The sequence below is a fragment of the Homo sapiens genome, chromosome 11, assembly GCF_000001405.40.
Source record: "Homo sapiens chromosome 11, GRCh38.p14 Primary Assembly".
Classification (NCBI taxonomy): Eukaryota; Metazoa; Chordata; class Mammalia; order Primates; family Hominidae; genus Homo; species Homo sapiens.
Window position 1 is genome coordinate 38,326,771 of NC_000011.10, and position 17,873 is coordinate 38,344,643.

General features: G+C 35.3%; 1 long non-coding RNA gene across 1 annotated transcript in view; it reads right to left on the reverse strand.

The window, feature by feature from the left end:
• The window catches only part of LOC105376634 (uncharacterized), a 146,154-nt gene extending 135,629 nt beyond the window's left edge, over positions 1–10,525 (reverse strand). Inside the window, exon 1 of the long non-coding RNA XR_931202.2 lies at positions 10,067–10,525. This is a non-coding gene — a long non-coding RNA (uncharacterized LOC105376634). The remainder of the gene's footprint in view (positions 1–10,066) is intronic.
• Positions 10,526–17,873: the final 7,348 nt, after the last annotated feature.

Consider the following 17,873-nt stretch of genomic DNA (forward strand, 5'->3'; position numbering starts at 1 on the left):
ATATTCATGAGAAGCCTAACTGGAAGCAAATTCAGAAATAAACAGACTCCAGTTTATAAAAGTAGGGCAAAAATCAAGGTCACTTGGGTAATCAAGTAAAACACAACTAGTACTCACATTGAAGCCACATGCTTTCTGTGACTTTGGTAAAGTCTGACTTTTCTTAGTTGACAGTAAAGTGGGATACAACTGCATACCGGCCTTCGACTTACTAGTTGTATAAACTTGAGGAGGTTACTTAAACTCTTTGAAGCATATGCAAAACATTTTCAGAATGAGATTATGAAATAAATTTCATATAACTTGATGATATGGTTTGGCTGTGTCACCACCCAAATCTCATTTTGAATTGTAGCTCCCATAATTCCCACATATTGTGGGAGGGACCTGTTGGCAGATAGTTGAATCATGGGGGCCATTTCTCCCATACTGTTCTGATAATAGTGAATAAGTCTCATGAGAGCTGATGATTTTATAAGGGGTTTCCCCTTTTGCTTGACTCTCATTCTTTCTTGCCTGCCACAATGTAAGACATGCCTTTAGCCTTCTGCCATGATTGTGAGGCCTCCCCAGCCACGTGGAACTGTGAGTCCACTAAACCTCATTTTCTTTATAAATTACTCAATCTCAGGCATGTCTTTATCAGCAGCATGAAAACAGACTAATACACTTGGTGTGATAATTTTGAGAAAAAATGTGTAAATTACTCAGTACAATGTCTAACATTAAATAGGTTTTCAAGGCTTATTACTTAGATCACTTAAGAATATTAAGAGAAACTTATATAATGCAAACAAAATATACTTAGTAAATGATCAGTTCCTTAAAAGCAATAGTCCTTCATCTATTCTGTAAGACGATGATGATAATTTAATGAAAATCTGAAATAGTCTCAGCATTTTAAACAAACCTATAGTTACATGCAGCTGTGCATTTGAGTATGTTCATATTAGCCCTGGCTCTACTTTTGAAAGATGCAGTTTCTGAGATGTTTTTCCTTCTCTAGGCACGTGGTAAAATGGTGGTTAAAAATGCAAAGTACAAAATGCAGGAAAATACAGAAAATAGAGGATGATTTCACAGTAAAAAATTGTTATAAAATTCTATTCATCAGCTCTGCTACTTTGAATATCCACACCTTATCTTAAAATTGGTGATAATTATAACAACTTCACATGGTTTTTGACAATATTTAGTGAGTTAATACATAGGACAGGTACCTGTCACACAGTAGGTTATTAATAACTCAGCTCCCTACTAATACTCTACCTACCTTTTGCACACACACAAAAAACAAAACTTCAAATTAAAATTGTCTTCAGCAACTAGCTCTAGCCCAGGTTAATGCAATATTATAGATGAGAAAAACAGTTGATCATACATGGTAATTTGTGTGTGAAAATTTAATAAACCCCATCTGAAAAATGTCTGAAGTGCAACATGGAAGAAAGATTTGGTAGAATATTTATTATTTCTGGTAATTTAAATGTATATTATTATAAGCTAAGGATTTAGGGCAATGCAAACAAAATGTAACAATTCGTGAAGTATTGATAAACTATTAAATATTTTATGTTTTAATGACTTTACATCAACCAGTCATTGCTTATATCATGCAACATATAAGTATAGAATACTTCAGTAAATGTGAATTATATTATACTAAATTCAAGACCATTTTGTTGGAAAACTGGTATAAAGTTTTTCCTGTAAAGAAAAATATCAGTTCTATCTATATAATTCTTTTTACAAGCTACAGCAAAAACTTTTTAGATTTTTAAAGATGAAGCTTCTTTCTAAAATACTAGAAAATAAAATGGTTAATACAGGCAAAAACGACTAAATTCAGTATCATCATAAACAAAACAAAAATGCTTGGAATTTGTGCTTGTTGCTTTGGTATCATTAATTGCATGAAAAATGACAGCTTCTTTCAATGTAAATGAAAGTATAGAGGTGGCTATCCTTAGAGTACATACATGATTATGAACTTGCATTCTAAGATCTGAGATCAAATTTTAACCCCTATGTTATTTCTGCATCTGATTTCTTTGTGCTGTCTCAAATATAAAATGAAGCTCTTTTCCAGATCCCATTATTCTGAATCCTCACAGGAGTCAGGGATTAGCAGTCACATAAAACCAAATTTCTGATAGTTACTCTCATGTATAAAACTACAGCACAGATTTGAATTGTAAATTCTTCATGGACATGTCATAAAATTGTGGTAAAACTGTATAATGTAGTTTTGTTACATGTACAAGTTATCATGATATATATCAGATTGTTTAATGTATTATAGACTAAGAAAAATAAGAAACTTAGCATCTAATCAGTAGTAGAATTTAATTACAAAATCAGATTAACAACACATTCATGAATCACATTTAATCACTGAATTTTGATATCAGATTATAAGTATTGATTAATATGCATTTTAATAACTTGGGAATCATTTTAAGACACAGATTTTCATTCAGTAGTTCTGGGATCCACAACCTAGCAGAAACCTAGGTAATGCCTAAGTTGTTGGCCTGAGTACACACTTTAAATCTGATGATTCTAACCTACTGCTATCAATAGCACTCTCTGTCATGATGAAACTATTCTATATCTGTACTGTTCAATAGGATGCCAGTAGCCACATATGGCTATTAAGCTTTTGAAAATGTCTAGTGTAAATGAATGACTGAATTTTAATTTAATTCATTTTAAATTTAAATTTAAATAGCCTAGCCATGTGAGACTAGTGGTTACTGGTTATTGGAAAAGACAGGTCTGGAGGATATAAACAATTTATCTTGATGATATGGGAAGATACTTAAGGCAAAAAAAAAACTTCCCAAAAAGAAACTCATAGTAATAAATATTGACTTATTTCATGTTAATAAGTGTTTATCAATTCCTTCAAATGCGTCACAGTTACACTAACCATAACTGTATGACATTATAAATCCACATAGAATAATAATAATTAGCATCAATGGTTTCAAATCACTGCTGTGCCACTTACTAGCTGTGATATCTTGAGTAAGTATTTGCCCACTTTGTGCTCCAGCTTCCTCATGTTTAAAAGGGGATAATAATAGTAATATTATTTTAAGAGTTAAATTAGTTGCTATTTGTAAAGCATTGCCACAGTGTCTAACACAAGCCTACATATCATTTTTAATAAATTTTAGCCAACATTTTGCACGCAAAAATTACTTTGAATGATTACTCTGAATTTCAAGAACTAATTTGGCATAATTCACACATAGTAAAATTCATAGATCTTAAGTGAATTGTTAGATAAGTTTTAACAGATACATCACTGCAGAAAGTTCCTTAATCCCTTTCCTCAGATTAAACCACCCAGCAAACACAGCCTTTTTATTACCAGAGATTAGTTTTGTCTGTTCCAGAACTACATATAAATGCAGTCATACATATTCATTCTTTCTTCTTTCCTTCCAAAGAATATTTTTAAGTTTCATCTATTGCTCTGTACTCTATTGTATAACTCTATTCTACTGTAAACTTTTTTATCCATTCTCCTGTTGAGCCGTTTTGGTTAACAATAAATAAACCTGCTGTAACCATTTTGGTACAAGCATTTTGTAAACATCTATTTTTATTTCTTTTGGATAAATACCTAGGAGAAGAATCACTGGGTTACAGGAAAGGTATATGTTTAACTTTTTAAGATATGCTCAAAAAGTTTTATCAATTTGTTGGGAGAATATTTGCCAGAGGCCTGTCACATTTTGGAATGTTTGGGAGCAGAGGTACTGACTGCTTTTGTCCTGGACTATCTTTTTAATGTATATTGAAAAACCTTGGGAATTAGAGATAGTGTACCTCAGGAGCAAAGGGCAGATTTGCTTCCTGTCCATATAATAAAAAAAAATGTTTCCTTCCAGGGCAAACCAACTGTTCATTATTTAAAATTCAGTTTCCCTAACCTCAAAGTTCTTGTCTTCTAACGGATTCCACTGCCTGTACAAGGATCAGCTGACCATATTTTCACCACCCTGTGGAAAGTGTGGCTCAGCGGTTCTGCACAACTGCTGGCCTCTCATGGCTGCTGATCTTGCTGTGAATAATCACTTGTCCTTTGTCTCTGACCCAGGAATCTTTTGCTTTCTTTCTAGAATCTGTAAAACTATGGCAGGCTTGGTTGTTACTTTGCAAGTCGAGTAAAATATCAAATCTTTCACAGTTTTTGATAGTTTTGTAACAGGGATAGATGTTAACAGACACACAGAATGCTAGAAAAGGAAAGATGAAGGCCTAGATTCTTTTATGTGATTTCAGAGAAGTGCACCAGAATACCAGTAACATGTTGATCAAATCGTATGGTTAAAAATGTGCTTACAAGGAGACACTAGTGAGGTGCTTGCAGCTGAGTACCAGAAAGGAGGTCTGAAGACAATTGTCTAAATGGTGCCCTGACTGTGCTAACTCTACTTTGGGCAGGGAGATTTCCTCACTGATCTGGTAATCATCCTTGGGTTTATCTCGTTATTATAATTAGTACAAAGATTTGATTAGATTGGCAGATACTTCTACATCCCCCACCACATTTTACACCATATTTACAAAAACACACAGCTACATTGTGACAGCATTTTTCACAATTGCTATGAACATAAATTGGGCCCCAATTGTTAATTTTTTGTCAGGTTGCTTGAAGATGAAGAGATGGAAGTATATGATGCTTGATAAGAAAGAATAGTAAGAACTCAGCCTCTTTTGCAATCTATCATGCCAACCTGAGATGCATTTGAACAAGAAACTAAAAGGTTGCAGTGTTACGTTTTTGTTTTTCTGTTATTGTGCTTTGTTTTTGCAGTGGGTCCTGGGTGCCATAAGGAAGCTTTGACCCACTCAAAGAGAATTGTCTCCCTGAGAGAAAAGAAAAAAAAAAAGCATTTTGAGAAAACAATAAATCTAGTATGCAAGCTTATACTGCCCTAGATTGCTAGGCTTATAAAGCCGATAAGGTGACCAACTAGCAAATGCGCCAGTTTTATGTTATCTGTGATTCCACTTCTCATATACTATTTATGTCGATGTTTTGCGTGATTGTACTATGAATGCTGATATGGTTTGGCTGTGTCCCCACCCAAATCTCACCTTGAATTGTCATAATCCCCATGTGTCAAGGGCTGGGCAAGGTAGAAATAATTGAATCATGGGGGTGGTTTCCTGCATACTGTTCTCGTGGTAGTGAAAAAGTCTCAGGAGATCTGATGGTTTTATAAGGGGCTTTTCCCCGTTTTCCTGAGGCCTCCCCAGCCATGCAGAACTGTGAATCAATCAAACCTCTTTTCTTTATAAATTACCCAGTCTTGGGCAGTCCTTTATAGCAGCATGAAAACAGACTAATACAAATGCTTATGGGTAAAAGAGCGATTTGTTTACTCAGTGACCATGGCATGTAGAGAACTGCTGATAAAACATGTAAGTCACTCCTCAACCTGTCTCACTGTCCTCATGGAGGAGGTCCAACAGAAACAACATAGTATCTTAAGAAGAGAATGGGAAATCATAGCCTTGCTTAGGAACTTAACCACATCACAGAGAGTATGAAATGCAATATCTCAATACAACCATATACGGTCAGTTGTGAAGATGAAGGGAGCTGGAGTTTCACAGTACAAAACTAATTGAATTCCGTTTTTGCACCCATAGTACTAGTTGTTGCAAATATTGAGACTGTGAAGATACTGCAATATAACTGAATTTGTTGCACAAACTGGTAGCATTTTGTATGCTGTTTCAGACACTGTCAGCTCTTTCTTTTCTATCCCAAAGGCACCTAAGAACCAAGACCAATTTGCATTCATTTGACAAAGCCTCTAATATACATTTGAAATATTCTCACAGAGGTATCTAAACTCATGCCATTTGCCACCTGTGTCTGGGTCAGGATTTGGCATGAATGTCTACAGTTATGATGCCCAAAATTTTCAACTACACAGTATAAATGATGTCCTGTTGGTTGACAAGTTGACAGTCTCATTCTCAAAGGTCCCGACTGTGGTGATATATTTCCTCCATCAGTAGGAGTGGTTAATGAACCCTGACAATTTTCAGGAGTCTACTCACCAAGTAAATTTTCTTGAGACTATGTGGATGGCTTCAAAACTGTTAGTTCCTCTGGCATTCAAAGAAAATTGCTCTATCCTGTTCCCACAACACTACCAAAAGGAGACCCAGCACTTTGTTAACACTTTTAGGTTTTGGAGACAGTTTGTGACTCACTTGGGCATTCTATAATATTTGGTCTCTCATATTGGCTAAACTGCAAATTAGCATCCTTTGATTGGAGACCAAATCACAGGTTACATTGTAAACTGCTTAATGAACTGCAGCATGCTTTTTACCTTTGGATCCCCACAACCCCAATTACTACTTCGAGTAATATGTTTTCATGACTGATGTGGAGCCTCAGGCAATGGATGTCAGCTTCTATCCTGCCTTGTCTCCACCGCGAGCTTTTGACTCATCCCCTTCATGACATGGCTACAAGGTACATCCCCAGAAAACAGTTATTAGATAGTTACTATGCTCTTGTTAGAAGGAATGTCTGTCCCAAGAGGGCCCGTGCCTCTGGCCTGATATTCCCATTTTGGGGTGGCTCAACTCAGACTTACTGACTATCAAAATGGGAAGGGCCCATCGAAATGCACTTGTATACTGAAAATGGCATATTTGAGAGCATAGCTGGCCAGATTTTCCTAAATGCCTAGTCCTGTTTTACTGATAGTTTATCTAAACTGAAATGCAATGGTATCCACTAGGCTGTTGCATCTGTTCAAACCCAGCACCAGCTATGCAGAATTGAAAATAATGGACATTGTTGCTCTGCTCATTGGGCAGAACTCTTAAGTTGTCCTTATGGCACTGGCCAACACTCCCCTTGATGAATTTTACTATATTTTTACTGAATATTGGAGTACTGCCAATTGCCTAGCTGTTCAGTTTACTACTTGGAAAACTACATTAACAAGATTAAAGTCACCATTGTTTATGTGTCCTCATCTTTTCTAATTATTATAATATTTAATCATGATAATTTTATCATTATTGTTTTGACATTTTTTCCTTTGGTTAATGCTTTTTGTGGTTTCTTTAAGAAATTTTTGCTTACCCTAAAATTGTAGTGCTATTATACTGTTTGCTGCTAGAAGCCACATAGCTTTAGCTTTTATGTTTATGTCCATAATGAATCTCAAAATAACTCTCTTAAAATGTAAGATAGGAAAATAGGGGTTCATTTTTTATAATATTGCATTGTGTCAATTATATTCATTGAAAATACTTTCCTTCCCCCATGAATTGCATATATGACCCTATTAAAAACCAATACTGTATATGAGGAATGGCTAATTTTTTAAAAAATATATTTTTATGTTTTTGTAAATAGGATTTCTTAATCAAGGCAGGAAAAAAAAGCTAAACACAAGAAGAAAATATTGGCATAGTTTTAAAAACAAACTTTAAAACTTCAATTAATCAAAAGTGCATTAAAGAAAAACCAAGGTATACATGCAACAGATAGCACAATGAATGGAATCATACCTCACGTCTCACTACTAATATTGAATGTAAATTGCCTAAATGCAAACGGTCACCAAAAGCAAGCAGTAGTAGCTATTCTTATGTCAGACAAAACAAACTTTAAAGCAATAGCAGTTAAAAGAGACAAAGAGGGACATATAAATAATGTCCCTCTTTATATAAAAAAATTTATTTATTTAATCTCCCTCTTTATATATAAAAGGCCTTGTCCAACAGGAAAATATCACAATCCTAAACATATATGCACCTAACACTGGTGCTCCCAAATTTATAAAATAATTACTAATAGACCTAAGAAATGAGACAGACAGCAACACAATAATAGTCGGGGACATCAATACTCCACTGACAGCGCTAGACAACTCATCAAGACAGAAAGTCGAAAAGACAATGAATTTAAACTATACCTTCAAACAAATGGACTTAATAGATATATAGAGAACATCTCATTCAACAACTGCAGAATACACATTCTATTCAACAGTGCATGGAACTTTCTCCAAGATAGACCATATGATAGGCCATCAAGCAAGCAAATCACATAAGAGTACATAAATATTTTTAAAGCAGATCCAAGAAATATATGTGTGTGGTAAAAATACATTAACCAGTAAGAGAATGATAAATAAATGAGGAACTCATGTTACCACTTGGTGGAGGAAGGCAGATAAGAAAATGGAGATATACATGTCTAGATGCAAGTTATTTATAATGGGTTAGTTTGAGGAATAATAATTTCAACACTACTCATTATAATATTTAAAATAATTATGTGAATATATATTTAATACATAAACATTTGAAAATCTAAACATAAAAATAAAAAGATAAATGCAAAATTTAATTATGATACTGCATTATTACCAAAGGATAACTGAGTTCTGTGTATCTGATCCCCTGTCAAAAAGAAACAACAGGCAAAAAAAAAAAACACAATAAAAGTATGTTTTGATCACCAAGGTTGAAGCTACTGTGAAAGCAAAAGTCTACACCTTGTATTAGTTTTTCTACTCTTCGTTGTTGAAATACTTAAGGCAATAATAAATGACTTGCATGTTGAACATCAGTAAAAACATGGCAGCTAAGTTTCCGCAACTAATATTTAAAGCAGCACAAATGGCCAAGGCTTTGTGTTTGCACTTCTGTGTAGGTCATCTCTTCTATGAGCATACTCTGCAGAATGGCCAAGATTAAGAGTGAATTATTGTTTTGGCTTTTAATTTTCACTTTTTATTTATTTTACAAGAGTGAATTACACAATTTGACAACTTGTATTTTTATTTTTTTAATTTTTTAATTAATACATAATCATACATATTTATGGGGTACATATGTTATTCTGATAGCTGCATACAATGTGTAATGATCAAACCAGAGTATTTTGATATGTATTGTCTCAAATACCTATCATTTCTTTGTAAGGGAACATTTCAAATCTTTTCTTCTAACTATTATGAAATATACAATATATTGTTAACTATAATCAGTCTACTCTGCTATCGAAAGCTATGACTTATTCTTTCTTTGTAAATATATGTTTGTACCCATTAACTAACCTCTCTTTATCCCCTCTCCAACCTTCCCAGGCACTGGTAACTACAATTCTATTATCTACCTCCATGAGATCAACTTTTTCTGCTCACCCATATGAAAAAAAATATAAAAAATATGTTTATTAGTCAGAGTGTGCTCTCTTTAATCCTGGCTGTCTGAACACCATGCATCTCCACGCATTCTGCACAAATAATTTTAGACACTGGTAAGTCATAATTATACTCTTAGATCTCAAGCTTGTTGAGGATGTCATTGCTTTTGACATGTAAAAAGAGTAATGGCACCAGGGAAGATTATAGAAACATAAAAGTAGATGCTTTGTGTTGCTTCTATCTATTTGTGACAAATCCTGGCTAGTAAATAACATGAAAAAAGATGAATTTCCAAATAGATAATGACAACTTGATCAAAGGAAGAAAAAAAATGAGTCATACACAACAGGTTTAATCAGGTTAATTAGAATCTGGGTTGCATTTTGGACCTGGGAATACTTATCAACAGGCTGTCATTGGAAGGATTATCTTCATTTAGTCTAAGGAGCATGGCAGGTGTGTAGCATTTGGATATAATGTCTCGCACTAGCTCTCTGGGAAGAAGCTCTCTCACAGAGTTGCAATTTAGCAGGCTGCCTCAACATAAACTGAACAATTCCTGGTGCTCTCGCTGTTATAATGTCTGGAAGCATCATTGACTGGTGGAAATGTTCATGGGGTTACAAAGGAAGGAAGAGAGGAGGGGATAGAAAAACAAAGAGAAAACGGGAAAAATAATGGTAAGGAGGACATGTAGAGGAGGAGAATGAGAGAGCAAAGGAGGGGAGTTACAAGAGGAAGGAGAAGTGGCCAAAAGAAGACAAGAAAGATATTGTGGAAGAACTTCAAGCATCCAGAATCACAATAAATTTATAAATACACAGCAAATGACTTTCAAATAAAACACTAACCTCACTTTGGGGAATGCAATCTGGTAAGACAGTTTTCTCTTGATTTATCTTTTATTTAAAATGGTCCCTCGGTTTCTTTTTCTTTCTTCGTCCTCCTCTTCCTTTACTCAGTTCTCCAATCCTCCTCCTTCTTCATCTTAATACATGCACTATTAGAAATGTCAGGCCGGGCGCCGTGGCTCACGCCTGTAATCCCAGCACTTTGGGAGGCCGAGGCGGGCGGGTCACGAGGTCAGGAGATAGAGACCATCCTGGCTAACACGGTGAAACCCCGTGTCCACTAAAAATACAAAAAATTAGCCGGGCGTGGCGGCGGGCGCCTGTAGTCCCAGCTACAGCTACTCGGGAGGCTGAGGCAGGAGAATGGCGTCAACCCGGGAGGCGGAGCTTGCAGTGAGCGGAAATCGCGCCACTGCACTCCAGCCTGGGAGACAGGGAGACTCCGCCTCAAAAAAAAAAAAAAAAAAAAAAAAAAAAAGTCAGTGAATCCAAAACACTTCCTTAAGCTGCAAGAAGTACACATTTTAACTCAGCCATAAACAAATGACAGGGAAATTGAATGACATGATATTACTAATTTCTTTGCAAATATCATACATTCCTTGAAGGATAGAAGCTGGTTCAATGGCTTGTATCTGCCTCACCTGAGGAGGCATTAGTGGTTGTAAGGATAACAAGAGAGGCATGTGACATGTAATTAGAAAAAAGTAACCAAAAAATTTCAGTTGCATAGAGCACAAAGGAAGAAACAAAAAACTGTTTTTGCCTTCATAGGCACTAAAGGTATTTTTTAATTGCTGTGTATTTATGATATAGTTTGTTCATTTCTATTTTTTATTTGGTTAGACATTTAAATGCTCATCCTATTCCACTAATACAAAACACACTCAACATACACACATGCATATATGCAATCCTGCTAGATAAGAGGGGACATGGAGAAAAGTTTTATTTCTTACTTATCTTCTAGTTTTCTATTTACTAGAACATAATAGATTATATGCACATATTAGATTCCAAAAATTAGACGTATAAACCTTAAAAACCTGTATACCTCCAAAATAACTTAGTTTACTATAAAATTAATATTTTGGACTAAAATGTAAAATCTTAGACAATAATATTGTCTGAAAGAGACAATAGATGCCTACTTTTAATTAAAAGTCAATTTTTCAGCAATCTCATTACTGGGTATATACCCAAAGGAATATAAATCGTTCTATTACAAAGCTACTTGCACACATATGTTCACTGCAGCACTATTCACAATAGCAAAGACATGAAATCAACCCAAATGCCCGTCAATGGTAAACTGTATAAAGAAAATGTGGTATATATACACCATGGAATACTATGCAGCCATAAAAAGGAATGAGATCACGTCCCTTGCAGGGACATGGGCGAAGCTGGAAGCCATTATTCTCAGCAAACTAATGCAGGAACAGAAAAGCAGATACCACATGCTTTCACTTAGAAGCTGAAGGATGAGAACACATGGACACAGGGAGGGGAACAACACACACTGGGGCCTGTTGGGGAGGGCAGGGTGGGGAAGAACACTGGGGAAAAGACCTAATGCATGCCGGTCTTAATACCTAGATGATGGGTTGATAGATGCAGCAAACCACCATGGCACATGTTTACTTATGTAACAATCCTGCACATCCTGCACATGTATCCTGGAACATTGAAGAAAAAGTCAATTGCTATAAAATAATACAAATTGTTCTATTACTATTCATCTAGCACTGCAAGTCTTTTGACAAAACTTCAAGCACCTCTCCTTCCTTTCCAGTTCTCTGATTTATGAAGACATTCTCTCTCAATAATTAAAAAATGTTTTAAGTATTATTTTCTGATATTGATAATTTTATTTCAAATATGATACTTAAAATATATTTATTGATTTTAAAAAATTATATTTTTTACTTTACTAACTTTTTATAATTTAGTTCTTCTATTAATACTTTCATATTTATATCTATACCCTCAATCATTCCCATATGCTAATATTACACATTAATATTTTGTTACAAAATTCAGTAATTTTTAAAATTATAGAATGTATTAAGTATTGTGTTATATTTATTAAAGCAAGCATTTACAAGTGAGCTGCATAATACATTCTGAGTATGTCATTTGCTTAAGTCTCCACTTATTTAATATTTTACTTTTGTTATTCTCACATTTTTTTTAGATTTCATCAGCAAATTGTCTCTAAACTCTTCACTACATCTCTAAACAGTTTCATATTGTGATCATAACATTTAATAGATTGCTTCCTATTTATTTCATTGATACCATTCCTCATACAGCTGACAATCCTCCTGCTTCAATCTCAACATTCAGCCAAAGAGATAAGAAAAGGTATGACACAGAAAAAATGGAAACATAATTTTAGAATAAAAGGAATCATCAGAGGATACAAAGCACCTCATTCAAGACAGAAACGAAGTACTCAGTAGAAAAGTTGGAAGTTAGGTAAGTTATCCTAAAAGATAAAGAGAAACACTAAATGAAAAATAGTAAGTAAAAGATGAGCACCTTCCTTAGTTAATGTATTAAACAACTTGCTGGTATACCACGGCAAGCAGGCACCCCAGAAACCAACAGAATGGATTCAAAGAAGCCCTCATTGTAATAAAATATAGCTTGAAATATGTCACGCCTTCAGACATCTGATGATTTTCTTTTTACATATAGAACCAAAGTTCTCATTGAGTTTGCAATTTACTTTGGAAAATAGACAAGTTATCAAACTGTGTGAAGTGCTATGATAGGTGAGTAAACAGAGTGCTTTCAAGGGGTAAATTGTTTTTTTAAAAAAAGAGCTATCCTCAGCCCGAGAGTGTGGGTGGACATGGATAGAGAAATCGAGTGAAGCTTCCTGATTGGGCTGACCCCCTGTGTTAAAATCTGAAAGAATGAACAGGAGTTCGTCTGATGGAACAAAGTGGGAGAAAGCTTTTCTAGGTATCAATGTTTCCATCATGACTCCTGCACGTCTCGCTGAGTTGCAGTTGTGGATTAAGGGCATTGGATGCATTGTGGAAACATGCTGAAAAATCAGTGGGGCTCATGACAAGTTTGGACAATATAAACTGTCACATAATTGATGAAAATCGTTCATTTGATGAATTTGACCAGATCAAGCAACGTGTGACTAATGTGATGCCAGAAGTGTGCAGGAAAATAAGACATCCTCTCTGGGAAAGGGGAGGAAAATGACTTTCCATCATTTTCGGAAATATGACATGCCTTCTCAAGTCACTGAATTCTCATTATCCACCTGACAATCTTCCAGCACTAATACACCTGTTGGAATAATGTGGATGGGGACTTGTTCTAAGCACAAAAGAGACTGTCACTTTTCAGAGAGCGCTAAACAAATGGTCTGAAGCTATTAGAGAATGTTCTGCCTTTCTATATAAATACTTTCCAGAGAGATAATGCAGTTTCACAAAATGACGACACAACAGAGGGTCTTAAATGTTTTATTTACAATAATATGAGGCAAATACCGTTATTTTAGAAAGTTTCACAGAGACAGCAATATCTTAATTCTTTGCCTAAGTGTTTAAGACTTGTGAAATAATGGCATAGAAAGCTCAATCGTAAACTGGAAAATCTTTCATGATTGTTCCATCCGTTCCCTACATGTTTGCACCTAAACATTGAATTTGCAAGAATCTCAGATATGACATTTAATGAAGGACTCAAAATTGGACTAAGAAGTGGAAAAATTATGTTAATTACCATTGCTGATCAAGTCTAATTTTGAAGAGATGAATATACCTGATAAAACAAAAAGATGCAGTTTCTGATATGCAGAGAGGTTAAGAAATGTGATCAAAAATAAACAAAAGGAATTCCTATGTCAAAAATATTCAGTTTCAATACAAAGAGTGCACATAGGAAAGCATTGCAACTAGGAACAAAATGCAAAGCTATTAAAGTAACAGGTTGAAAAATAAATACAAGATATGCACCCAAACATGCCATTATCAGAAGCAACATAAGCGGTCAGATAGCTAGAAGCAAAAAGGTAAGAAAATTACATATCCATAAAATGAGATTTCAAGTGCATTTTGAAATCACAATGGAGTACCCTCAATCAATAATAATATCAAATTTTAAGAAAGGCCCCAAATGAGCAATTTTATAATTGTAGCATAAGTAATATCATTATTTCAATAGTCTTTGCCAAATCAGAACAGGTAACATTTCCTCATAGCAGAACCTAGGGCACATAAAAAAGTTTTAAAGTATATAATTTGCAACAAGATACAAATACTATGGACAGTTGAAATAATATTCCATGTTGCAAGACTTAGGAAATAGTAAAAGAACAGCACCCTCAGGATTTGAATGCTAATTTTAACCAAACAGTAAGAAAATGAAATATATAAGAATACAAACTTACAAATACTCTCCTAGCATAGCTTTCTTCTTCTTTTTCAAAAAAAAGGAACTTCTCTTAAAGGTACTCTTGGATACCTTTGAATAGCAGATTACTTAATATATTTTTTATTTATTTCTAGATATTTTATGATTGGTAGAAAGAATTGAGAATGAATTAATATTTCGAGTGTCTTTCACATGCCAGTAATTCTTTTTCTTTTTTTTTTATTATACTTTAAAGTTTTAGGGTACATGTGCAAAACGTGCAGTTTTGTTACATATATACACATGTGCCATGTTGGTGTGCTGCACCCATTAACTGGTCATTTAACATTAGGTATATCTCCTAATGCTATCCCTCCCTGCTCCCCCAACCCCACAATAGGCCCCAGTGTGTGATGTTCCCCTTCCTGTGTCCATGTGTTCTCATTGTTCAATTCCCACCTATGAATGAGAACATGTGGTGTTTGGTTTTTTGTCTTTGTGATAGTTTGCCGAGAATGATGGTTTCCAGCTTCATCCATGTCCCTACAAAGTACATGAACTCATCCTTTTTTATGGCTGTATAGTATTCCATGGTGCATATGTGCCACATTTTCTTATGTTTATTGCGGCACTATTCACAATAGCAAAGACTTGGAACCAACCCAAATGTCCAACAATGATAGACTGGATTAAGAAAATGTGGCACATATACACATGCCAGTAATTTTTATGCACATTATATTATTTATTCCATATAACATTTGAGGAGGTAATCATCATTGTCTTCACTGTGTATGTAAGAATCTGAGACACAGATTGCTTAATGAATAAAGGTCAGTGATAAAAAGGGTGCTGTAGGTTTAAAAGGCCTGTGTTTTATTTTGACTCTGCCACTTTCTAGCTGCTTAACTTTGTTCAAATTACTTAATGTTTTTCTGTGACCAAGTCTTTTTCAGAAACAATAGCACCTACCTTTTAATGTTGTTAGGGTAAATTTAGTTTCTGTAAACTACCTGGGACAATGCGAGGCAGCAGTTCTCAATAAACACTGCCTAGTTCTTAACTTTCCATAATGTTTCACATCTTGTGAATACCAAGCTGAAAGTCAAACCCAAAATCTATCTAACACTGAAGTCTGTTTTCTTTCTTTCTTGTCATGCTCCTGCCCTCTGCAGGGAAGCAAACAGGAGGTGAAGTTAGGAGGTCATCAAAGGAGCGCGAATACCAACAGAATCATAAACATTATTGTGTATTTGTGTGGTGGATGGGTAAGCCCAGAAAAGAAATAAAAATAACTGAATATCTGTGAAATTACATTCAATTCAAAATTCGTGGAATAAACCTGTTTTACTTCCTAAAATTTGAATGTGGGACAGACATTTTAGCTCAGCCCTTTAAAGATGGGTTCATTATTGTCTTTCAAAGATACACTAAACCATACCAATTTCCTGTGCCATTTCAGGTAACAGGCTGAGAAATGTGTGAGCTTCTCAGTTGTCCTTGAGTAGGCCTTGTAGATTTCCCAGTGTTCAGAATGCCAGGATTAAGGTTCCTGCCCTTATATGTCCATAGAATCTCACCGTAACTCTACTATACCCTTGCTGAATTGAAGTGTCATATAAAACTGAACTTTAGCCTAGTTTCCTTGCTGTATTTCACTGTCTACTCTGGGGGCGGGGGGAAATTCTACCCAAATTTCATTTTAGTAGGGTAAAGAGGGTGAGTATGAGGGCTGAAATCTTCATATCATGCTAAGCCTTCTCCTGAAATGTCACCTGCAGTTCCACCCAAACCGCTTAGCTTACTTAGAGTACAAAGTGAATAGGCAGGTAGTTGGCTAATTTTCCATATTCCTCCGCAATCCAGATTTTCACTCCTCTGTCTCATCTGTCATATTAAACCTCCCTAGTACAGACTTTGTACTATCTATTTGTTTATATATTTATTTTATTTTTGACAGAGTCTCACCCTGTCACCAGGCTGGAGTGCAATAGTGTGATCTCGGCTCACCGCAACCTCCACCTCCTGGGTTCAAGTGATTCTCCTGCCTAAGCCTCCTGAGTAGCTGGGATTACAGGCATGCACCACCATGCCCAGCTAATTTTTTTGTTTGTTTGTTTGTTTTTTTAGTAGAGACAGGGTTTCACCATGTTGGCCAGGCTGGTCTCGAACTCCTGACCTTGTGATCCACCCACCTCTTCCTCCCAATGTGCTGGGATTACAGGTGTGAGCCACCACGCCCGACCAACTTCATCCAATTTCTTATGTCCGTTTTGATAATCAAGTAATGGAATGTCCATATGCCAGCTGAGATCCTTTCTCTACACTCTCATCCATTTTTACTGTCTTTGTAGTGTCCTGTCCCCGTAAGATGAGTTCTAGTCATAAGATCTCAAAGTTATGACTAAATTATCTTTTTTTTTTTAGAGACCCAAGTAGAGCTTGAAGAAATACTTTTTTAAAGTATTTAATTATTTCGAGGCTGGGCGCAGTGGCTCACACCTGTAATCCCACCACTTTAGGAGGCTGAGGCAGGTGGGTCTCTTGAGGTCAGGAGTTCCAGACCAGCCTGACCAACATGGGGAAACCCTGTATCTACTTAAAATACAAAAAATTAGCTGGGGATGGTGGCGGGCACCTGTAATCTCAGCTACGTGGGAGACTGAGGCAGGAGAATAGCTTGAACCTGGGCGGCAGAGGTTGCAGTGAGCTGAGATCATGCCACTGCCCTCCAGCCTGGGTGACAGAGTGAGACTCTGTCTCAAAATAAATACATAAATAAATAATTTAGTTATTTTGAGTTCATATTTATACAAAATTGCCATTACCATTAACTACAAATGTATCCATATATATTTTAATGATAAGGGATATAAAATATCATTTTATAATTATTATGCTAGTTATTTGTTTTATGCATGGGTGTATGTATCTTTAATTTCAGCACCCTTTCCCATTATATCACTAGTATTAAAAGCTCTAATCAAAAAGCATAGGGTGCAATTTGAACAGAAAAGTTAATATTATATGTAAGCTGTATCCATGTAATCCATTTTATCAGCTGTCTCTGTGTTTCCTAATCTCTTCTGCTTCTTTTTATGACAAAATATTGTTATCACTGCAGACCTAAAAATTCACAGCAGACTGAGCAGAATCCTAGCCTGCCTCATACATTATCTAAATTATCAGTTAATGTTAAATTTTTCTGATTTTTTATAGGTAGCAGGAGGTGAAAATATGGAAGTTTTTGTTTATTTTTTCCCAGATTCCAAACTGAGGTTTTCAACATTGAGAAAACTGAAAAATAGCCATCTATTTCTAGTGTACTTGTCATCTACATAAATTGAACATAAGAGTCAATGAGAGAAAATTAATTTATGATCTATGAAATTTATCATATCATAGTCTCTGACTTTAATAA